The sequence below is a fragment of the Homo sapiens genome, chromosome X (assembly GCF_000001405.40).
Source record: "Homo sapiens chromosome X, GRCh38.p14 Primary Assembly".
In the NCBI taxonomy this organism is placed as follows: Eukaryota; Metazoa; Chordata; class Mammalia; order Primates; family Hominidae; genus Homo; species Homo sapiens.
This window is the reverse complement of record NC_000023.11, coordinates 25,469,881-25,495,923: the sequence shown is the minus strand read 5'-3', so window position 1 is coordinate 25,495,923 and position 26,043 is coordinate 25,469,881. Positions and strand designations below refer to the sequence as shown.

At 35.7% G+C, this 26,043-nt stretch overlaps 1 long non-coding RNA gene across 1 annotated transcript; it reads right to left on the bottom strand.

Moving 5' to 3' along the window:
* Positions 1-18,147: 18,147 nt before the first annotated feature.
* Positions 18,148-25,796, bottom strand: LOC107985652 (uncharacterized). The gene is made up of 3 exons (XR_001755982.2): positions 25,368-25,796; positions 23,888-23,969; positions 18,148-18,184 (listed from the first exon to the last, which is right to left on the bottom strand). It is a non-coding gene; the product is annotated as an uncharacterized LOC107985652 (long non-coding RNA).
* Between the last annotated feature and the right edge of the window lie 247 nt (positions 25,797-26,043).

Genomic DNA, 26,043 nt, shown 5'->3' with positions numbered 1-26,043 from the left:
CAAGGAACATTACCTAGAAAACACTATAAAGTGTGGCTGTGATGCATGGAGACCAGCAACCCCAAGTCATACCCTTCACTGTGGAAGAATTGGGGTAAATATCAACAATTGGTACATATCACTATCAACAATTGGTAAATATCAATAATTACATCATGTCCCTTCTGTTTGTCAATAGTAAATGAAGTTACATTGTTTCATTTGTTTGCAATAGTTAAGCATCACCAAAATAAAAAAATTAACACTTTGAGGACTAGAGTTTTCTTCATATGGTGAGCTGCTATCTAGTAGGTTAGGAAGCCTTATAAATATCATAAAAAGATATCACTCCTGTAAGTAAGAAGCCACTCACCATTTTCTAATGCTTAGATACATATTTTGATTATGCCAAATGCAAAATTGATTTTTAAAACTTTATTCAACTTCATGATATGAAGAAGAAATAGAGGCAATAAGCAGTATTTAAAGCATTTGACTATGTCACTGATCCCCAACATTCCTGTTCATTAACACAAACTCTACCAGTCTCTAGCCACTTAATTCTTATTCCTGCCACTTCAAATCCCATTTCCTCCAAGAATCCACTCTGGGCACTGTAATCCACAAATAAGTTTTCCTTCCTCTTTATGACCTCATAATTCATTTGCATTTTGGTATGACGTTGTATCATTAGTTATTTTCAATGAGATTATACCTTTTCCCAGCAACTGAGCTCTGCTCATCTTGAGGGTAAAAGTCATCTTATGCTACTTTGTATTTTCCTCATAGAGCTTGCACACAATACACACAGCAAGTAGTGGGTGTTCAATAAACATAAGTTGATCAATTTCTTACTAAAAAAGAATGAAATGACCTAATTTGTGAAAATTAACTTTTATCTCTAATAGTTTGAAATATATTTAAGTAACAATCGATTCAAAAGTCATTGTCAGATTAGAATTCTTATTGGTAAACTTTAAATTTCCAAATACCCTGGAATCATTTACTAACACAAGTTTAGACCAATATAATTCTTCAAATTTCAAATAAAATATCACTTTAGGCTTTTCTGTAAAGGCATTCAACCATTCCTTGATTACCATGAACATATCAAGCATGTTTCCATTTCAGGGCCTTTGCACTTGCTTTTCAATTTGGCTAGACCATTCTTTCCTCTTATCTGCCTCTTACTTGTCATTCCATTTTCAACTTAAATGTACCCCTTCAGAAAGGCCCTCCAAGACCACTCAAGTTAAAGTAGCTTACACCCACCCATACACACACACACACACACACACACACACACATACACACGGTTACTCTTTATCATGTAATCCTACTGTTTTCTTCATTATACTTAAATATCATTACACATTTTCTTTTATTACACTGAAAATAACTTATTCATCTATTTGTTTATTGACTGTTTCCTGACATTCAAATGTATGCTATGTGGGAGCAGCAGCCTTCTCTGTAATGCTCACCTCTCTATCCTCAGTGCTCATAAACTGGTACACAGTAAACACTTAATAAATGTTTATTGTAGGAATTTATTTTGAACAGTGTGAAAGTTGAGAGGTGAGCACTGTCTTTCTCAGAGATGAAGCAGACATTTGGAATTAGGAAACAAATCTCATTTACATGTCTGGTTACTATGACGCCCCTAAATGCTTAGCAGAAAGAGACTTGAAACCGAGTTATAAGGAGTTGATAGAGGACATAATTTGCTTGATAAAAGAAGAAATGGCAGCCCATGAGAAAACCAAGCAAGCTATTAAGAAAAACTGCCCCGCTTTTACCTCATGCATGTATCAAATAAGTGGACGTAATATCAAAGTAATCATTATTTGTTGAAGTGAAATCAATAAATACTTAAACCAGTATACCTTGTCACTTATCATTTATATCAGTTATCCTTCCACTATCTTAGTATAATTCTTTCATGTTTAACACGTCCTTGCCATAAAATATCAAGTTCTCATATTAAATTAAAATGAACAATCGCAAGGATAACATTTACATGTTCATGAACAAATAAATATAATTTACAGTGCAGTACTCAACCTTGAATTTAATACCATCTTTAGCATCGGCAACCTTGGGATTTTTAAATAAACTTTAGCGTCTTGCGTCAAAGAATGACTATGCAACTTCTGTTCTTCCTTTATTATCTCTGCCAGAGCTTTTTTAACTTAACCCCAGGTTGAAATTAATCAGATTTTCTTTATATTCTCCCAAAGCAGTTGACACTCCAAGTGACTTTGATGTTCAACAGCATTTGTTAAGATGTCTTTTGACATTCATTCACAGTATTGTAGCATCTTGCAATCCTAAAGTTTTTACCAGCTGAAATACTTTTCTTTACCATTGTATATTTCAATGAGCTTTAATTCAGATCAGTTCCATTTGAGCCTTAACTGAAAATGTTCTTTTGAGTATTGCTACCTCAGATGCCTGAGATCTGCCCTAATACATTTTGTCACAAGTAGGCAGAGAGCTAGAGTGCTAGGAGGAAGTCTTTTTGTAGGGGTTTAGTAGCCTTAATTGAAATTTAAATGACAGGAAATATGAAAATAAAAATAAAACATTTTTCTGGAGATAAGCAAAATTTCCAAACCAAAAGACTCCTTTCCAAAGGAATAATTGAAATGCAAGAAGCTATAAAACTGATTTTAGATGAAATAGTGAATCATCCTAGTCATATCTTGCCACACGCCACCCACTTATCAAGTCACTGCTAAACACTCAAAAGTTTTATTCTTTGCATTTTTAATGATGATATTTCTAATGATGATTCTATATTTGGTTACCTGCAACCAAATATTTTGATGAATAATTAAAGTAACATTCAGGGAAATGTATGTGGAAAAATCCATGAAGATTTTCTTTGGAGAGTGACTGTAGCAGCTATGTGCAACGTTTGGTGTTTATGGTTCTGCCATTTTGGTTCTACTAATTGTCAGTCAGCTTTACAATGTGCTAGAAGCTTGAGAAATACAAAACAAGTATAAGAATGGTAGGATGTTTGCGTTAGTTATCACTTGTTATCACAGGTTATTGCTCCTCCAGATTCACTCTTCACCATTCTGTGTTCTGCTCTGTGCCCTGGAAAGGTGATGCGCATGAACCATATCAAAGGATTCACTTGTCCTCCAGCTTCTGGCAGTGTTTGGCCAATAAAGAGCTCCAGCAAGAGGTGAAATGATGAGAGGAGAGTGAAAGAAGTACAGTTGTCCCTTGGTATTCTCAGGGGACTGGTTCCAGGACACCTCTCTGATACCAAAATCTGCAGATGCTCAAATCCCTTATATAGAATGGCATAGTATTTGCATATAATCTATGCACATCCTCTTGTATACTTTAATTTCTAGATTACTTATAATACCTAATACAAAGTCAATGTTATACAAATTGTTACACTATATTGTTTTTATTTGTATTATTTTTTATTGTTATATTGGTTTTTTTTGGTATGTGTATTTTTTATTTTATTATTATTATACTTTAAATTTTAGGGTACATGTGCACAATGTGCAGGTTTGTTACATATGTATACATGTGCCATGTTATTTTTATTGTTTTTTCCCGAATATTTTCAATCTGTAGTTAGTTGAATTTGCGGATACAGAATCCACAGATATGAAGGACTGGCTGCATTTATTTCCTATGAGGTCACTACAGGCTGGCTGGGTCACAGAGCCTCTGGGTCTCAAAACCTACTCCATTTACCCACCCTTTTCAGCCTAGAGGAGCTAACACTGCTGTTAACCAGGACACTGTGTGAATGAGTTCCTTCTATACTCTCCACACCTTTGTAAATAGTCATTTATTAAACTCTTCTAAAATTACCCAACTTCAGTTTCCATCTGATTCCTCATGAGACCTTCAACGTTCAAATGGCTGTCTTGGAAGAGTTCCCCATTTGGTAGATACAATGAAGCCTAATACATTAAAGGAATATGATACAATCAAATATAACACAAGAGAATGACAAAATCCAATATTAAATTATAAAGTCTCCACAAATGTTACTGAGATTAAGGCAAGTGAAGGACTATTTGAGAACAAAAGTTGGACTGAGAAGATTTCCAAGAAAAGATGGAACTTCAAATGGAGTGATGAAGCAGGAGATTCGGACAGCAAAAAAGAAGGGATAAAGAATCCCCTGTGGGAGAGTAACTTTGGCAAAAGCACAAAAGCAGAAGAAAGAATATAACGTGGGAAGATAGTTAATTTGGCAGTTCATCTGCTTTATCTGGTTTACAAAACCTCCAGTGGAGAGGTAAATCCATGGTTAAAATACTGGCCCAAACCATCCTAGCTGGGCCAAGCAACATATGAGTGAATTCCACCCACAAGAATCAAGATGCTCCAGTGAAGCAGATGAGAGCACCTGCCCCTGAAGCAATGACATCTCAGAGTGAGTTCAGTCATCAGTTATCATAGTACCCAAAAGAACATATTGAGATGCAAAATAATTTGTCCTGGGGTTTACACGAGTTTATTTTTCTAAGCCTCAGATCAAATGCTTTATCAATTCTCATCACACAAGACATCTCTACAGTTTGAATGGAAGGTTTATGTCTTTTATACAATATGCAAGCCCCTGTTACACCACGCCCCAAGGAGGGAAGTAGTGGCATGAGCTAAAGACCCATCTGCTACCCATTCATGTTGAGCATCATAGTGAGAGCATCCCTTGGTGCTGAGATTCTTGCTGCCAACCTACCCTATGTTCTGGTGTATAATCCAGAAGCTCTGAGCCTCTGGTTACTAACTTTTACTTTCTAGATAATTTAAATTCTCTGAGATTCCATTGCCTCATTAGTTAAATGGAAATAGCCATACCTGCCCTTCCCATATGCTAAAGTTGCTGTAGGGACCAAGTTAAGCAATATCCATTAAAGCAGTAGGGAAGCTAAATAAAAGGTAATTCCAAAGAGAGATATTACTAAGGAGAATGGAGATGGTGGGGCTGGCAAGGTAAAAATATCTCCCTCATAAATTCTTAGCAACATAAAAGCATAATGTTGGTGTTTATGCCATATGATGATTTAGTAGTATATTAAAAAATTCAGATGGCTAGAATCTGTGGGTTTCCCCCAATTTGCATCAGTACAAATATTATTATTAGAAATTATATTAAAATACAATATTGGCTTTTGTGTATTGCCTCACAGTTCCTTTTATAGCAACTAAAACAATGTGTCCCATGTTTGTGCAAATCCCTTCTGTCATTTATTTCACAGAGGCTTTTGATGACAATACAGGCATATAAAAACTTGTGAGTCAAGTTTCTCTAGCCTGCAAAGACAGTGTCCGTTGGAAGACGTCAGTAAATCACATCACAAAAATTCCCCTGGTCTGCTATAAAAATTCAGGAAGGGTGACCCTGACTGTAACCTTGTTTCTCCAAAGTAAATCCAGTCCCTGCATCTGCGCTGCATATAATTACGAAAACACAGTTTACGATCTGTAAAAAGAAATAATCAAGAAATGGATGTGCCTCTCCTATCATACCAGTTTTTAGGGACATGAGAATCTACTCTGAAATGAATGAGAAGGAGACATAGGAGAGACGCAAAAGAGAAAGAACAAGGATAGACAGACAAGAGTGAAAACCTTCCATTCTTGAAAGAAGTCAGTGTCCATGACATTTCATATCTGATGGTGCATATGCTGCACAAGAAACTAGAAGATATTTTCTCTATAAAAGATTGCTTTTATGGCAATTTTTCAAGCTGACACTTAAGTTACGGCTTCTTCTATTACAGCTTCTGTAGCAGCAGCTCTTTCATTACAGAATTCTGGCCATACATTTTACTGCAGTAATAAAGTAATAGGAACCTAATCTCTTTTGAAAGGGTTTGCGGAAAGGATGAGTGCAACACTGGCACAGGACAGAGTTTTTGACCTTTCCCCAGTGAAGTACAGACAAAGTAGGTCACAGATGATCTGATTTTTTCCTAACTTGTCTTTATTCTAGCATGCCCTGGGTCTTTGCACAGATCTCTAGTATTCATTTCTATTTCAGAGTAATAAGACATAGCTAATACAATATTTGAGTCAATTCCACCAGGTTGCTACATAAATATTTAATTTTCAGCATGAACTTCTGGTCTCTCCAGGATTCTTCAGCTGGATCCCCACTGGAAAATGGAGCTTCTGGCATTCCACAGCTTGTGGATAATTATTTTGATCAAACTGAACACAGAAAGTGTATGAAAAGAGATTTTTAGAGATCTCAGATGACCTTTGCCTTTAACTGAGTAACAGGACACACTATAAGGAAGTCAAAACAGTGGTTCTCTTGGCCTTCTATTGCCCCATTTAGACCATGTTTCCACCAACCACTTAACCACCAGGTTATCCAATTATAGTGCCTTTTTCTCCATTCTTGTGACACTCTATCACTTTTTAACCATCTAAATGCCAGAACATTGGTGATTTGGGAAACTGAAAAGTTTTTCTCTTCAGTAACTGCTCTGATATTAGAGGTAGGGTCACGTAGTAGTTATAAGTGGATTCCAGAACTAGATGCAAATCCTGTGTCTGTGTCATTTAAGAGCTGCACAACCTTGGAGAAGTCAGCTAAACTCTCCAAGCTTTTGCTTCCTTATCTGTAAATTGATGAGCACAGTAATAGGATGGTTTTGCATAAACCCACGTAAATTTACTTAATTTAGTGACTTTCACATGAAATACTCAATAAATATTTATTATTATTATTGGAGATACCAAAATCCACCTTCAGAACCCATCCAAAAAATTTATGATATATTTTGTAATAAAAGTATGTTTATTCTACACCTCTCTCTGAAAACTCCAAAACAGAATATGTTTTTAAAAATCCAATCTATATAAATTCAGGAAATAGCAAAAACCCCAACTCACAGTTTGTAAACAATATATGCCAAAATTCCTTGAAGTTTGGACTTAAACGAGGAAGGATGCGAAAGCCAAAAGTCACTTCCACTGCCCTTGATTCCCTTACAGAATCTTGAGAGGCTGGATTGAAACTCATATATTTGGACCAATGAAGATCACAGGCATGGGTGGGCTATGTGGGAACTGCAGGTCCAAACAGTTCCAAGTCATAAAATGAATGTCATGGGAGGTGGGTTGATGAAGGGATTGCACAACTTTACTATACTATTTCTAACCCAAACTACAAATTGAAAGAAGTGAGACCTGGAGGAAAGAGAAAACACCAATTGGTTCTGCAGCAGTCTTATCAACAAAGATGAATAAACACTAAATAATCAAAGACCTATTAGCTCAGAGGCTCCAATTCGGTTCATGTTGATCTCTGGTTGATAAGCTTTCTGTGCTCTCAAGGAAAGTGACACAAGCACATATAGTGAAAAAGTACCCTTTAGAATTATACTAAAATGGAATTTTAGTATCAGAATGTCCCAAATACTGCATGGAACATACTTGTAACATTAAAAATGTATCCACATGTATTTAAAATTCAGTCTGAACTGGACACCCTATGTTTTTATTTGCTAAATCTGGCAGTCTTACCCCACCCACAGATAAGAAGCGGAAAAAGTTCAACTTGGCCTGCATACACAGACACTATTAAAAAAAAAGGGGGTAAATTAACATAGTAAGCAAACAGAATGAAAAATGTACTTCAGATGCATTATCCTCAAGAAACTAAAGAAAAGCTCAGACAAGCGTTTTATAATCTCAAAAAAAGTAAAGGAATATAGACTCTTAGAAGAAATAGCTCAAATACTACATAAAACAGCAAGAGATGAAAAGTGATCTGGAAAAACTGAGGAAAAGAATTGTAAAGCAACTTGAAAATAAAAATAATGGCAAGTAAAATACATTCTGCTGAGAAAGAGTCAACAATATGAAAAAGAAGTATGAGAAAACAACACAAAGTCCAGAAGATAAAGGCAAATGCGTGATGAGCAATCAGAATAAAGGCAGGCAAAGAAAATCCAACGTCAAGATGATGATGATGATAACGGCACCAGAAAGAGAGCAGAATAAACAGAATAACAGGAAATCATTCTGAAATAAACAAAGACCCAAATCTACAAATCAGTGACAAAATGTATTCTGAAAAACACGATAGACGATACTCAACACAAAGATACAATCTGATGTAATAACTAAATTAAGGAAATAAAAGAACCCTATAGGCATTCAGTGGATAAAGCAAATCATCTACAAATGGGAGAAACCAGACTGCTATCTCCTTCTACTGCCAAGAAACAGTGGAATAATATCTAGTGTTTTCATGGGGAAAAGTGCAATATAATAACATTATATTCATTTAAAATATAACAGAAATATTTATCAAATTTGTTGGATTCTGGTTTTCATTTGCATTTCATTTGCATTAGTAACATTGAGCATTTCCCATATACCTGTTGACCATTTCTATGTCTTTTTTGAAAAAATGTCTATTCAAACCCTTACCCCATTTTTTAATTGGTTATTCATTTTTGTACTATTGAGTTGTAGCAGTTCCCTATATATTTTGAAGATTAGCCCTTTATCAGATATATGGTTTGCAAATATTTTCTCCCATTCTGTAGGTTATCTTTTCACTCAGTTGATTGTTTCCTTTGCTGTGCAGAAGCTTTTTTTTTTTTGGATGGAGTCTCGCCAGTGCAATCTCAGCTCATTACAACCTCTGCCTCCCAGATTCAAGAGATTTTTCCTGCCTCAGCCTCCCTAGTAGCTGGGATTGCAGGTGCGTGCCACCACGCCTGGCTAATTTTTGTATTCTTAGTAGATACGGGTTGACTGCAGAAGCTTTTTAGTTTGACATAATCCCATTTGTTTATTTTTGCTTCTGTTGCCCGTGCTTTTGGTGTCATAGCCATGAAATCATTGCCAAGACTAATGTCATAAAGGATTCTCCTTCGTTTTCTTCTAGGAGTTTTATGTTTTCAGGTCTTACATTTAAGTCTTTAATTCATTTTGAGTTAATTTTGTGTATGGAGTAAGATAAGAGTCCAATTTTGTTCTTTTGTATGTGGACATCCAATTTTCTTAACATCATTTGTTGAAAAGGCTATCTTTCCCTACTATGTAGTCTTGGTACCCTGTCAAAGATTAGTTGACTGTATACATGTGGATTTATTTCTGGGCTCTCCATTCTATTCCATTGGTCTATATGTCTGTCTTTATGTTAGTCACATACTGTTTTGAATACAGTAGCTTTGTACTATATTTTGAAATCAAGAACTGTGATTGTTGAAGCTTAGTTCTTGTTACTCAGGATTTATTTGGTTATTTGTGGTACCATATGAATTTTAGAACTGTTTGTTCTATTTATGCAAAAAAAAAGCCAATGGGATTTTGATAGAGATCACACTGAATCTGTAGATTTCTTTGGGTAGTCCATACATTTTAACAATTTTAAGTCTTCTAACCCATGAACACAGAATGTCTTTCTATTTGTTTGTATCTTGTTTAATTTATTTCATCAATGTTTAATAGTTTTTAATATACAAGTCTTTCACCACCATAGTTAAGTTTGTTCCTGGGTATTCTATTCTTTTTGTTGCTGTTGTAAACTGCATTATTTTTCTAATTTCTTCTTCATTGTTCATTGGTTCATTGTTAATGTACAGAAATGCAACCGATTTTTGTATGTTGAGTTTGCATCTTGCAACATTACTGAATTCAGTTATTAGTTCTAAGAGCTTTTTAATGGAATCTTTATGGTTTTCTATACATGAGATTATAATGTCTACAAACAGGAACAATTTTACTGCTTCCTTTGTGATGGGACGCGTGTCAGGATGGCTATTATCAAAAACAAAAAGATAAATGTTGACAAGGATGTGGAGAAATTGAAATCCTTGCACACTGTTGGTTGAAATGTAAAATGGTACAGCCACTGTAGAAAACAGTGTGGAAGGTCTTCATCTTCGAAAAGTTAAAAATAGAATTACCATATGATCCGGCAATTCCAGTTCTTGGAATTTATCAAAAACGATTAAAATCAGAATTTTGAAAACATAACAGCACTCCTATGTTAAGTGCATCACTATTCACAACAGCCAAGACGTGAAAAAGAAACCTTAAATGTTCATCTATGGATGGATAAAGAAAATGTGGTCTATATATATAATTGGATACTATATACATAATGGGATACTATTCAGCCTTATAAAGAAAATAATTTTGCAATATGGGACAACATGGATGCACCTTGAGGACATTATTCTAAGTGAAACAAGCCAGACGTAAATACTGCATGATTCTATTTATACGAGATATCTAAAACAGTCAAATTATAGATTCAAAGAGTTGGAATTGTGATTACCATGGGCTTCAGGGAGGGAGAAACTGAGTGTTACTAATCAATGGACATAAACTTACAGTCCAGGAAGAGCAATAAACTCTAGAAATCTGCTGGACAACATTCTATCTGTAGTCAACAATAATTTATTATATATCCAAAAATGTTTTTAAGAGGATAGGTCTCATTTAACAGTTCCTACCAAAATAAAATAAAACAAAATAATACTAAATAGTGCAAGAATACAAGAAAAAGAAATAAAAAGCATAAAGATTGGAAATAAAAATAAAAACTGCCTTTATTCCTAAATTTCATGACTGTATTAGAATATCAAAAGGAATCTACAAAAAAACTAGATCAAATAAGTAAATTTAGTAAGGTCATAGGATACAAAGGCAGAGTACAAAAATCGATTGTATTTATATATAGTAGTAATGTACTATTGGAAAATGAAATTGAAAGAGAAATTCTATGAACAAACAATACTTAGGAATAAATACTTAATGAAAGGTTATATAAAATCTCTATAACAAAAACTTCAAATTAAAAAGTCAGGAAACAACAGATGCTGGAGAGGATGTGGAGAAATAGGAATGCTTTTACACTGTTGGTGAGAGTGTAAATTAGTTCAACCATTGTGGAAGACAGTGTGGTGATTCCTCAAGGATCTAGAACTAGAAATACCATTTGACCCAGCAATCCCATTACTGGGTATATACCCAAGGTTTATACATCATTCTACTATAAAGACACATGCATGTGCATGTTCAGCACAGCACTATTCACAATAGCAAAAACACGGAATTAACCCAAATGCCCATCAATGTCACACTGGATAAAGAAAATGTGGCACATATACACCACGGAATACTATGCAGCCATAAAAAAGAACGAGTTCATGTCCTTTGCAGGGACATATATGAAGCTAGAAACCATCAATCTCAGCAAACTAACACAGGAACAGAAAACCAAACACCGCACGTTCTCACTCATAAGTGGGAGTTGAACAATGAGAACACATGGACACTGGGAGGGGAACATCACACACTGGGGCCTGTTGCGGGGTGGGGGGCAAGGCAAGGGATGACATTAGGAGAAACAGCTAATGTAGATGACGGGTTGATGGGTGTAGCAAACCACTATGGCATGTGTATACCTATGTAACAAGCCTGCATGTTCTGCACATGTATCCCAGAACTTGGAGTATAATAAAAAAAAGAAACTTCAAAACATTAAATATGGGTTCACCGTATTTAATGCGGGTAGGTCATATAGCTTCTATGTCTAAATAGAACTCTGTATTGCTGTGTTATATTGCCCCACTTATGGGAGAGGCCTTATTTTTGTCATTTGGCAGCAACATTATCCTGAAAGGTTTCAGTGTCCTTCAGTCAAAATATTATGTGAACTATCTCTTTTCCTGAGTCATCTTTGATGAGAAATTAATTTGAATTTTCTATGACCTCTATCCAGAGGACAATTCTCTCTCTCAATGATGTTATTTTTCTCAAATGAAATGCTCTGGACTTAAAGACACAATAATATTTTAGTTCACAGTCCTAGACATTGGTACATAAACATATGGTTCTTAATTCTTAGGAACCGTGTGATACCTACATGAAGAAAAATCCAAATTGGGGGCCAACAAAGGTGGCAAAATAAATAAATAATAAAAGAAAAGAAAAACATCGTGTTTCCTCTTCCCTCCTCCCTCTCATCATTAAATTAGCATTGTTGTGGTCTCCCAGGTATTCGGTGTGGTTCAATGTTTGTGGCGAGGTTGCTGTCAGATTTTGTAGTGACTTTAGGTGGATTAGGTATTGAGCAGAATAAAGTTCTTCGAAAAGCAGGGCATGATCTTTGTATTCTTGAGAGAACATAGGCAGAACCTTATAATCACTTGCTAATTACCCTGAGTAAAGTAATTTGTTTTATCTGTCTGCCATTTGGTTTTCCTGCAAAGTGCTATATATATATAGGATTTTGCTCAAACTAATTACTACTATTTTATCATGAAGACTGTTCAAAGGTAATCCTCTTTCCTTAGCTTGCTTTCTCCTTGAATTTAAAGTCTTATGGTAAGCCAAGAAGCAGTTTAAACATCCTAGACTGTAATAGATACTCCTGATTTTTAGCCTCCCACTATAATAATGTGCAATGACACCTCGGTACTCAAAGTCAACAGCTGCTAACAAGCATTGTATATGGCTTTTCTTAGTTGAAGGTTATGGAATGGGTAGTAGGTCAAAATCAAAAGGAGTCTTGCTAGAATTTTATAATGACAGAGCACTTATAAATATCATAGTCACACAGGACCTTAAAACTGACAAGGAGCTCTCACATACCTAATTTCGTAGAATCTTCCTAATTATCATGAGAGGTTAGGTATGGTAGATTAGATTACTGTTCAGAAAGTACTCACTTCCTACCCCACCCCATGTCGTAGAGGAACATTTCCTCGCCCCACTGATTTTGAACTTTGTGACTTGCTTTGATCAATGGGATATTAGCAGACATGGTGAAAGCAAAGACTTGAAATGTGTTTGCACAGCTGGGCTTTTGCCACTGCCACGAAAGACTATGTCCCAGAAAACTGGTCCCAGAAGAATGAGGGATATTTGGAGCAGACACAACCTGGAGCCTGAAGACAAGCCCAGCTGAGCCCAGCCTAGATTCACCCCGGCTGACCTGCTTACATATAAGCCAAAATAAATGTGCATTCTTAAAAACCTTGGATATACGGTGCTTGTTATGCAACAAAACTGATTGGCACTTCTGCTGTCATTATTCCTACTTTGCGAATAATGAGAGTAAGACTCAGAGAAGTAACCTTCTCAGAGTTTCCTATAAATTAAATAACAGAACCATAGTTGCCTATATGAAAAATAAGATAACAAAAAAAGGCCAATGGCATTTATGAGGCTGTGTGTGATATGCATTTGATCTGATAAAAGATCTACGTGTTGCTACATAAAAAATTACAAATATGAAGCCCGTTTTCTCTTTTGTCTTATCACTTCAGGATAAGTTCTAAACACTGATGGCTTTGCAAATGGATATTGACAGTCTCAGTCACAATATTAATGAGATATATTGGCTAATAGAAACCCTGAAGTTATATTTTCTTTATTGAGCCCAGTAAGATGAAACTCAGCTCCAGCAGTATTCTCTCATTTGAATGGCTGGTGTGGTTTCCTTGATTGAAATGACTGCTCTGTTGAGTTGAATGAATGGCACTGCTAAAAAAGTACTCTGTCAAATATTGATAGCTAATTAGATGGATTTTATCATAATAGTCAACTGCACTCACACACACGCACACACAAAGAAGAGCTATTAAAGATCTTGACAAGAAAATAAACTGAGCCTCAGAACATTACTGTTTATTCAAAGCTCATTTCTAAGTTTGGCACTCAAAGTAGGAAGATTTATTTTTATAAAACCAGTGAATAATAAACCCAAGGGAATATGTGCACATTTTAAGAAAAATCAGTACTAAGGTTGTCTATTATAGAATTCCTGGGATTCTTGACCAACCAGCTTTTTAGAAGCTCTGGAGTCTCCCAATTGCTCAGGCAGTTAAAATTTTTCAGGAATAGCCTGAGGAAGTTTTTCTAATAAAGAAATAGTCCAGGGACAAGGAAAAAAATACTGATACTTGAGAATAAATAAAAAGCTGTGAATAATCTTTAAGCCTTCACAAAGATGTCTATATTGTGTGAAGTTTGAGGCACTAATGCAAATATAGAGTGAAACTGAACACAAATTGGGGGGAAAAACTGAATCTGAAAGTAAGAGAGAGAAAAAGAAAAAGTAAAGAACCTCAGTGATTTCATTAAGAAATTACCATGGGGTAGGAAATCAGCTCAGAATTAAAGTTAATAAGTATCAGAGATAGTAATCAAGATGGTCCAGTAGCAGGGATACCAGCATCGTATGATAGGAAAAAAGGTATTGGTAGATATTGAGACTATTTAATAAATTTCTGTTCTCATATATTTTGACTCAAGTTAGCCCAAATATAGCTATTACTCTGCCCATTAGACTGAGAAAAATGAAAAGCAGCAATGCCAACAAATATATTAAGCCACAAAGACCTTGAGATGGCTCAGGTGGATACTCTTCCTTCCTCATAGATTCATAAATTATTCTTGGAAAATGCTCACAGGCAATTGAGCTAATTTGTAAGATTCCTTTAAATGTTCCTTTATTTACCTTGTTTCTCTTTACACTGTGAACTTTACTACAAGCTAACATCTGCTAAGAATTAACAGGGGAATGCAGGCTATTCAATTTAACAAAAAGTTAATGATTATTTGCACCAAATGATGATAACAGTAATAACATTAACTACCATATGTTGAATATTAGTATCCTCCATGAAAATTGCTTTATAATCAAAAAGCAAAATATACTCCTTGCCCTCAAAGAACTTACTTACAGTGTAATAGGAAAACTCTAATGATGATACTTTATTAAGCAGCTACTATGTGTCATCACTGTTCTAAATGCTTTACTTATGTGTATTAACTCATGTCATTATCACAAAAAAAATCTTATGAGATGGAAGCTATTATTATCACCATTTGATAGTTGATGAAAGTGAAATCCATAGAGGTTTAAGTAACTTGCAGAACATCATAAAACCAAAACCCATGTTCATAACCTCTATGTCATAATGCTCCTTTAACATCATAAATAGTTATGAGGTAAAATATAATGCCAAGAAGGGAGGCATTCTTTCTAATTAGGATATATCAGAAGGTTATCTTAAAGACACAAGCATTTGAGATGAGTAAAATATAAGTTAAATTTAAGTCAGTCCACTTGGTCACTGATTAGCTACTGATGTCAATGATGTCAGAAAGAAGTGTGATTAGGCCAGGCGCAGTGGCTCATGCCTGTAATCCCAGCACTTTGGGAGGCTGAGGCAGGTGGATGATGAGGTCAAGAGATCGAGACCATCCTGGCTAACATGGTGAAACCCCCATCTCTACTAAAAATACAAAAATTAGCTGGGCGTGGTGGCGCATGCCTGTAGTCCCAGTTACTTGGGAGGCTGAGGCAGAAGAATCACTTGAACCCAGGAGGCGGAGGTTGCAGTGAGCCAAGATCGCATCACTGCATTCCAGCCTGGTGACAGACCGAGACTCCGTCAAAAAAAAAAAAAAAAAAAAAAAAAAAAAAGAAGTGTGATTTCTGCAATGTAAACATATATCAAAACATCATGTTGTACATCATAAATGCAGTAAATCTTTATTTGTCAACTTGAAAAATAATTTTTAAAAAAATAAACACGAAAAAGAAAGGTGACCAAAATGATATTTGGATAATTTTTCAAGTTCATATATCACCCCAATCTGTACCTTCAAGGTACCGAGCACCTAATAATATAGTAGAAGAAAGTTCTTAGGTTATTGAAAAATAAATTGGCTAAATTTTCTCAGAACTTTAACAATTGCAGAACTTTAATCTTTAAAGCATAGTAACCACATATGCCATTCATCTACCTCAACATGTGATCCCAATAGTGACTGAATTTATAAAATACTCTGCATAATGGGTTAGACCACAGGTCAGGAAATTATGGTCCATGAGCCAAAGCCAATCCAAAGCCTGTTTTTGTAAATAACATTTTACTGAAACACAGCCATACTCATTAATTTACATATTGTCCATGGCTATTTTTGCACTACAATGGCAGAGTTGAGGAGTGCAGAAGAGACTCCATGACTAGCAAAGCCTAAACTATTTACTATGTGTACCTTTACAAAGTTTTCTAGCCCTTGGATTATAGAGAACTTTAGAATGAATAATCTCTCATTTTCATGAAAATCCTCTTACCCTCATCAAAAAATGTCCCCTTGATTCTATTCTAAGGCTCCTATAATATTTGAAACAATGTTTACAACATCAATATTATCTTTCCCAGGTTCAGTAAAGCCCAACCAACCCAAACTCATAGCCTCCTATTCTTTTATAAACGTCCTTCATTTTTTTCAAAACAGTTCTAAGTTACTGATGCCAAAAGGTTATTCATCATCTTCAACTTGTAAAGTATATACAAGTAGAAGATACTCTCCTGAAAGTTATAAAAATGACTTTAAACAGGACATAGGACCATTCTCTAAACTTTATACTCTGGCACGGACAATGTAAGTGCAAACAGTTGGTATGATATAATGAACAAAAAACATCCAAGCAGGTTATAAGCTAAATCTACCCAGTGGGTAGTTTTTATAATGTTATCTTCACAGTCCCTCCAGGGAACATGAGTTCCAAGTGAGACAAATTTATAAGCATATTCACAGTAATGTACTCAAAACAAAGCCTAAAAATTGAATTCCTTCTCCTGGCTTCCCCAAATAAGGATTCAACAGTTAACTTTGATGATCTTTTTTCCCATATCCTCCTTCAAAATTTCCCTTAATTCCCCATCTCCTCATTGCTGCCAATCTAGCCAGTATCTTTCCAGGCTCTCCCTTTCACAAATCAAAAGTTGTGGACCAAATGTTTGAGTCTCCCCCAAAATCAAACGTTGAAGCCTTAACCCCCAAAATAATGTGACTACATTTGGAGGAAGGACCTGTGAGAAGTAATTAAGGTTAAATGAGGGCATGAAGATGGTGACCTAATCCTATAGGGCTGGTGTCCTTATAAGAGGTAGAGAGAGCAGAGTGCTTGTTCTCTCTCCACAAGCACAAACAAGAGGTCATTTGAACACATAGTAAGAAAGCAGCCATCTACAAGCCAGAAAGAGAGCCCTCACTAGGAACCAGATCTTCAGACACCTGGATCACAAGACTTCTAGCCTCCAGAACCATGAGAAAATAAATTTCTGTTGTTTAAGTCAAGCAGTCTCTGGCATTTTGTAATGATAGCTCGAACAGACTAATACACCAAACCTAAACATCACCTATCTCAGTTTGTTTTGTGTTGCTATAAAGGAATAACTGAAGCTGGGTAATTTATAAAGAAAAGAAGTTTATCTGGCTCATGGTTCTGCAGGCCATACAAGAAGCATGGCACCAGCATCCGCTTCTTGTGAGGACCTCGGGAATCTTTTAATTGTGGCAGAAGGGGAAGGGGAGCCAGTGTGTCACATAGTAAGAGGGAGAGCAAGAGGAGGAAGGGTGCCAAACTCTGAACAACTAGCTCTCACATGAACTAATAAAGTGAAAACTCACTCATTACCACAGAGGGAGGACACTAAACCATTCATGAGGGACCTGCCCCTATGACCCAGACACTTCTACTAGGCCCCACCTGCAACATTGGGGGTCAAATTTCAACATGAAATTTGGAGGGGACAAAAACCCAAACCATATCATCACCTAAGGATTACTTTCAAAAGTGACACTTTGGGCATGCTACTTTCTCCTCAAGAACATAGGTTTTGCTGACATGATCGTCTCTTCTTCTGTGACTATAATGATGTTTGAATTATCACCCTTATCTAGCATCCAAGGTTTGCCACAATCTTAGCACTTTCTAACCTTAACTATCTCCAAGAATTAACAAAGTTAGGTGCTTTGTTCACTGAGCCTGAATAAACCTTGCTCATCTCTACATTTGTTTGCCCTGAATTTTCACAAATAGCCCTATCTTTTCTGTCCATTTTTAAATACTTTATCTTTCTTATACCTTTAGTCAACTATGGGAGCCTGCAATGACTTCTTCCTCTGAATAAAATCTACTGCTTATATCACTTGTTTTGTAAAATACACATACATATATATATATATATATACATACACACACACATATTGAAATAAACCAAATATGTTTTAAATATTTTTTCAATCCACCAGCTACAGTTAATTCGAATAGTAAATGAAAAAAATAAAGAAATAAAGCTAACTTTTACTGTAACAACAATAAAAAAGACTTAACTTACCTAGAAGTAACTTCATCCAAAACACATGGGATCTATAAGATAAATGAGTAACAGAAAAGTTCTGTGAGATATAGCATATTTTTAGGAAGATTGAATAAATATAAATATTATAATATGTACAATAATACATATTTCATGTATATGTCCATTATTTCCAAAGCAATATATAGTAATAAAGCAATATCAAAATCCCAATATGATCATTTGAATCTTGATAAAATTAGTCCAAAGTTTATCAAACATAAAACAAGTTAAAACAGCTAATAAGGAAAAAAGAAAAGTTATAGGAGAATTGCCTATATGAAATCTTTGACATTCTACAATAACTAACAGTATTATACTGGTACAATATAAATAATCATATAAACATATAGAATAACTTATCAACAGGTACTAATCTATAAAAGACTTTACTATTTCTTTAGAGAAACACTGCAAATCAATGGAAAAGATGGACACAACTGACTATAATTTAAAGAATATTGACTACTGGGAAATTAATAAACTCATAAAATTAAATTACATGTAAGCTACAGAGTTAACTATAAAAACTAAAACCTTAAAAAATAGGACTAAAATAGGTAAATATGTGCACTCTATGTGACGAAGTAATTTCTAAGCATAAAAAGAGTGAAATAAATGGAATAGATTTTATTGCACAAAACAGAAAGCTCTCTATATTTAAAATATTTGAACCAAAATTTAAGGGCAAAGGTTAAAACAAAATAAGGAGAAAATATTTGAAATAACCATGGCAAAGGAGAGGGTCAAACAATAGACAGCATATTGGTATGAAAAATACACCCCATGTTAACAGAGCTTCATCTCTGGATGTTATTTTCCTCTTCTAACTTAATGCATATTTGAAATTTTTAGCAGTAAACAAAATGACCTATGTAATTAGTAAAAAAAAAAAAAAAAAAAAGTCATGAGGAGAAAGGAAAAGAAAAGTATAAAATAAAAAAGGAATTGCCAAGGAGGTTCTGGTTAGCAGAGACAGGCTGTTCTTCATTTAAAAATCACCAAAGATTTTTAAAATGGAAGAGAACTGAAACAAGAATTAGTCTATAAGTGATGGCAAAGGGCTCTCCCCCGTAATAGGAGTTATTTAGTGTCTGATTCTAGAAGGAGCTTTGGTCAAAAGAACAAAGCCAAAGGAAAAGAACTTTGGAAGATTACTAAAAGCAAAAGCAATTTTATAAAGTATAATGTAGTTCTCAATTATACACTCTTAGATGGAGTAAAATACTATAATCCAATTGAAATCTCTACTTCCATCTGATGGTTTACGAATAGTAACAAAAGTCTACAATTAAATTACTGCATCATTCACTTTTGGATAATAGATTGATAATATTAATACTTACAAAATAAAGAAAATTTAAGAAGGAGAAAATCATGTTTTCAGTATCAGTAATCAGAAGTCAGAATCAAGAGCCTACTGTTTGTACACTGCCTAAAATAACCTGTGTTAAGAATTAGAGTGCCATTGGATTTGAGGTTTGAATAGAGTAAAATTTAAATAATCACTCTAACAATTATTTATAAACAGACTATTATGTGCCTCTGCCATATTGAAGAGTCAATACAAGGAACAAAATAAGCATTTCCTCATCCTGTTGAGTTTTCAGACCATTGAGGGTTACAGAGACGTAAATAGACAATGATTATATAGTGTAATAAGCATTGGAGGGAGACACTTACAATGCTTTGACAGCACATAAGGAGCATTTATCTCAGATATGAGTGGCCAAGGAAAACTTCCTGAAAGAATGTACTTTTAAGCTGAGACCTGAAAGAGGGTAGAAGCTAGCCAAATTAATATAAAGGAGAAACGAATTATAGACAGGGGAAAATGCATGTGCTCAGATGCAACAGAAAGCATAGCTTGTTGCTGGAGAACAGAATGGGGAAGGAGAGTGATAAGAAAAAGGGCTGGACGAGTTTAATCAGATTAGTAAGCCTGAACTTCTCCTTAGGGTAATAAAAAACCATTTGAGCAGGAATGGAAGGGGTGATATAATTTTTTAATTATTAATTTTTCTTAATAGGAGGGACAGGGAGAGTCCATGGACTCAGCTAAGAGTTTCATACTATGAGATAAAATGGTGGCCTAAGCCAGAATATAATGCTGTGGATGGGGAAAAGTAAACAAATTTTAGAGACATTTAGGCATCAGAATATTTAAGAAATAGGGATTGAATGTGGGAAGAGTAGAGCCTTTTAAAATCTGTAGAATTTCAGTTGTTGAATTTATTGGAATAAAGTTTTTCATAGCATTCCTTTATTAATCTTTTGATACCTACAGAACCTGTAGTAATGTCATCTCCCACTCCTGATACTAGTAATTTATGTTTACTCTCTTTTATTCCTGATTATTCTGGCTAGAGGTTCATCAATTTTATTTATCTTCTCAAAAACTAGCTTTTGGTTTCATTGATTTTCTCTACTTGTTTGTTTTCTATGTCATTAGTTTCCACTCTGATCCTTATTTATTTTTTCTTCTACTTATTTTTTGTTTCATTTGCTTTTCTTTTTCTAGTTTCTTTGTTCCTGTCTTCAATATCAGAGTTGCTTTTAAGCTTTCTTCATTGAGACCAGATCATTTAATCTAGGGCTATTTTCCTCCACTTCTTAATACTCTACCCAATGTCTCATGAATTATGAGATTTTTGACAGCGCATAAGGAGCATTTATCTCTGGCTGATAGGAACAGTAACTATTCCTAGCCTTGAGTGAGCACGGGAGATTTTTCTCTGTAATCCCTTCAAGTGACTTCTTCCACAGTCTCCGTTAGTTCTTTCACAAGCATGCATTGATCAGTAGTCAGCTAAAGACTTGAAAGGAACCCTCTTAAGACCTCTGAAGTCCTCTGTCTGTGCGGTTATCCCCTCTCCCTTATTCTACCCTGCACCCTCTGGTCTCCTAGAGGAGGGTAATGGGAACTGATAGTTGAAAGAATGGCTTGACCACCCCTTAGCAAGTCCTGTATAGATGTACCCTTCACTTTAGACTGTGTGGGTACAAATCACTCCCATTGCTCTAAATTCTCAGACAAAATCCAGAAAAAAATATTCTCATTTTCCTCCCGAGTCATCTACCTTTTGTAGCCAGGAGTGTCCATCATTGACAGTATGCAAGGAGAGAAGGGAAGTACCCGTCTCTGATGAAACTTTCATTAGTTAAGGAGTTGAACAAGATAAGATCCAAAGTTCCTCCCAACTCTATTATTCTATAATTTTATGCACAATTCTAAAGAAGTAATTATCAGAATGCAATAGGAGAAAAAAGTCTATCCAATAAGCATAAAGAAAAAATGTTATTTCATCATATTAAAAATGAATGGCTAGATGACCTAGGAAGGAATGAAGGAGATGGCAATAGTTTTATTAGCAGTGTAAGAGAAGTAAAGGGCATTATATCATTAACATATTGTACTGTTTTCATATTTAATCGGTATATCAGAATGGCCAGCAACTTCAACTCAGGTCATTCTCTGCATCCCTAATGGGTCATAGCACATGTAATATTAATTATAGTCATTAAGTGAGAAGTCTCTGTAATGCTTTCAACTTAGGGTCTCTCCCACAGAAAGCTAAAGAAAAAGGTCTTCAGACAGACATTTACATTCCTTTGCTCTTGACTCAGCTTTTGTCTTAATAACAGGGAAATAATTACAGGGCTACAACATGTCACTCTTGAAGAGTTACTTAGAGGACAGTATTGATACCTACTCCCATTTACCTAATCCCACTCTACTTCTAGGTGATTCATTTATAATCCCATGGGTAAAATAGGGTAAAAGCTATTATTCTGGAGTTTCTCCAAATTGTGAGAAAATATAGGTCAATCTTTGCAGTTTGAAGTTTCAGAATATCAAATTTTCATTACTTGAAGTAATGGACTGGCCTAATAAGCAAGTAATTTCCATATTACCTTTGGGGTTTAGTTCATTTAAAATCAAAAGAAACAAGTTTAACTATTTTTTCTACCACCTTTGTTTTTGACTAGTTTAATTAATACCTGCTGTTTCCAGCTGTGATGTCGCAAAGCATAATATGGTCATTAGTACTGCTCTGAGACCTACACAACTAGAGCCCCTGCCCTGGGTCCTACTTCAGAGAGACCAGTTCCGGCCCTCTGAGTATGACCCTCTGTGCTGGATGATGACTCTGAAGGCCCAAGGGTACCTGTCCATTTGGAACTCAATACCTTCCATCTCCTGGGATACTGAAGACCTGGAGTTCCCAAAGCCTGCAATAGCTCACCTCCCTGCATCTGGCCTCCCTAAGGTCGGCCATGCTAGAGCATGTATGTCCCTAAACCCAAGAGACAGCTGTTTCATAAGGTGTGAAGAGAGTCTAGATGGAATGTCCACATGCCTGTGTGTGGCCCCTCTTCCTGTTAGACACAGCCAATGATGAGAAGAGGTGAGCTGACGGTCAGAGACCATGAGTTTTACTCTTTCCTTGTGTGGAGGATGCCCTCACAGAAACCTTGAATGAGAAGCACACCAGCCACATAAAAAAATGATTCAAGCCAGTGAAATCCAAAAGTTAAATCACATATGCATGGATGGAGAAAAAACTGGGAAGTCTATCAGACTCCCCAGTTTTTCATGTTGCCCCTTCTTTCTCCGCCCCCGTCCTCTACCAGCTGGGTAGGAGGCTGCTGAATATTGTGCCTCTAACCTCATAGGGTCACAAAGAGGAAAGAGCAACACCAGAGAATTCCTGATCCTTCTTCCCCTCAAGCTCTGCGCTGAAATCCCAAACCTGAAAAAAAGGAATTACAGAATCCAAATCTATCTTCTTCTTCTCAATTACTTCCTTCAATCTCCCCCTTCTTAGTCAAAACAAAACCAGGATCATTGAGCATTTTTTTGTGCTTAACACAAGAAATAGCTACAGACTGGGGATACAGGAGGCTGCTGGATTCCAATTAACCTCACCACTTAACTTTGATTGCTGTGATACTCTGGATGAACTCACTGTTTATTAGTAAATAGGGGTGAGGATCTTAAAGACTAATGATGGCACTGATTGTAGCTACACAATAGGGCCCAGATGTTTCTACACTTACTGCTTCCTTTCCTTGACCCTCTTTCCTGTAATTACTAGATGAAAGATGCAAATATGGCATTCAGGAAACCTGAAGCAAGCCCAAGCTACTGAGATGGTTAAAGACTAAACTGAATATTTGTCTTATACTCAGATTTCACAAGTTACATAACACATAAGAGAGACACTAGAAGGGGAAAAAAGGCCATACTGCATACTTGAAAGTGAGAATAGGGGAACAAATAAGACACATTTAACATGTACAATTGTTTGATATCAAAGCCAAATCTTGATGAGAAAGCCATACTCTACCATAAAGCAAGGTCACGTATCACAAAATCAACCATAGAAAATAACTCATGAGGGCTGTGCAGGGAACAAGGTACATACATATATCATCCATTGTAAGCTGATCTTACTGATCAGTCATCTCTTCCACAGTATAGAAATTTCATTTATCACTTCCATTTCTCTAAATGAATTTCCTCCCTACCATAGAATTTGTGTTGGGGAATCATAGAAGTGATTTAGTCTATCTAGAATTGCAATCAGATTTCTTTGCATATGGTTAAAGTTCTTACAAAACTACCAGATCAAAAACTAATTACAATGTAAGCCTCAGAATAAGCTACAGAGGTTAAAAAAAAAAAAAGAGGGAAGATTGCTAGTACTCACCAAATCTGGTTCCTTTCTTCTTCCTGTGTACCTGCCCTTCTTGCAGTTAGGCAGGACCATATGATTAATTCTGGCAAATGGACTGTGAGTGGAAAGAAATGGAAGAGACATGTTTCAATTTCATACTAAGGCAGTGAGAAAGTCTTACATTATCCTTCTCTTCTGCCTGTCTTCAGCAAATAAAAAGGCCATGTTGTAAAGATGGAATCACAAGATGGCACCTGCTTGGATTCCTAAGTCACTCCCTACTGGAAGGAGGCTTTCCTGGAGACTCTCTAGAACTGCAGCAGACCTTATGTGAGTAAAAATAGCCACTGAGATGCAGAGGAATTTTTTTGTCATTAATTCAACATTGTCTATCCTAACTGGGATATGTATGTTACCAATGTAAGCATACCTAATATATTAGAGGTGATCTTTAATCCTAAGTAATCCTTAGACCAATAGACCATTGAGTTGATTTGATAGCATATGTAACATATATATGTGTGTGTGTGTGTGTATATATATATGTATATATATGTATATATATGTATATATATGTATATATGTATATATATGTATATATATGTATGTATGTATATATATGTATATATATACACACACACATATATATATATACATATATATATATATATATATATGTGGGGGGGGCTGAATTTTGATATCCCTAGTCCAAAATAATTCTTTAAAATTTATCAAATTTACTTATCTTGCCTGAAATTTAATTTGAGGGCCTCCTAGTTAGAATTACTCTGAGGAGTTTCTGCCATCACACACCAAATCATTGAATCATATTTTACCTGAAAAAGAAGAAAGGAAAAGCCTAAGACAGTCTAATATATTAGTCTTATATTTTTTCTGCCTCAGACCCATAAATATACCTTGCCCCTTCACAAACAGGTACACACACAAGCATACAGAGACATAGAAACAGATGTACTGTCCACTCTATGCCAGAGCTCTGCTAAGTGCATAAGAACACAGAGTTAAGTAAGACATGATCACTACCCTCAAGGAGAAGTAGAAATAAAAACCATGAAAAGATTATGATAGAGTGTAATAAGATCTTTGATCCAGGCTACAATTGGAGCTCAGTAGAAGGAGAACCTAATTCCACCCAAAGGAAGACAAAAATGCCCTCACAGAAGAGATGACGGAAGCTGAGTAATGAAGGGAATAAGAATTTTCCAGGTAGACAAGGAGTAGAAGTGTATTCCAGGAAAAAGCACAGTACATGAAAACATATCAAGTCACAAAAGAACTCCCCAAGTATTTAGATTGGCTGAAATGTAGTGTGCTTGTAGGGGTAATTGTGGGATGTAAGTTTAAAAGAGCAAGTCAAAAAAGGATCACAAAGCACATTTTAAGCCAGGTTCTTTCAGTTATCTATTGCTGCATAACAAGCCACTTCAAAACTCAGTGGCTTAAAACAACAGTTCATTATTATTTTTTTGGAGGCACCACAGTTCATTATTACCTGTTCTGTTTCTTTGGGTTGACCGGGCTCAGCTCTATGGTTCTATTTTGAGGTCTATGATGTTGCAATGAAATGTTGGCTGGGGCTGCAGTTCATCTGAAAGCTCAGTCAATTCTGCTGGAGGTTCAAAATTGCTCAGTCACATGGCTGGCAATTGATGTTGCGAGCACAGCTGGAGCTGTCAACTGAAGCACACACACATAGCCCCTCCACATGGCTTGGACTTCTCATATCATGGTAGCTGGGTTATAAGAGGGAGTCTTCTCATATCACGGTAGCTGGGTTATAAGAGGGAGTCTTCTCATATCATGGTAGCTGGGTTATAAGAGGGAGTCTTCTCATATCATGGTAGCTGGGTTATAAGAGGGAGTGTCCCCAGAGTAATTGGTCCAAGAAACAGAAAGTATAAACAGCCAGTCTCTTGACTTCCGGGACCAGAAAATAGAACAGGATTACTTCAGTCATAATTTTGTTAAAACAGTCACAGAGCCCATTCCATATTTAATAAGAGTGAACATAGACCCCATTTCTCAGTGGGAAAAGTATCAAAGTATATGTATCCATCTTTAGTCTGTCACACAGGGCAAGATCTTAAACTTTATTCTGAAAGCACTGAATGGAAAGCAAACATAGGCCTTTACACAGGAGACTGATAAGACAGAATTACATTTGAGAA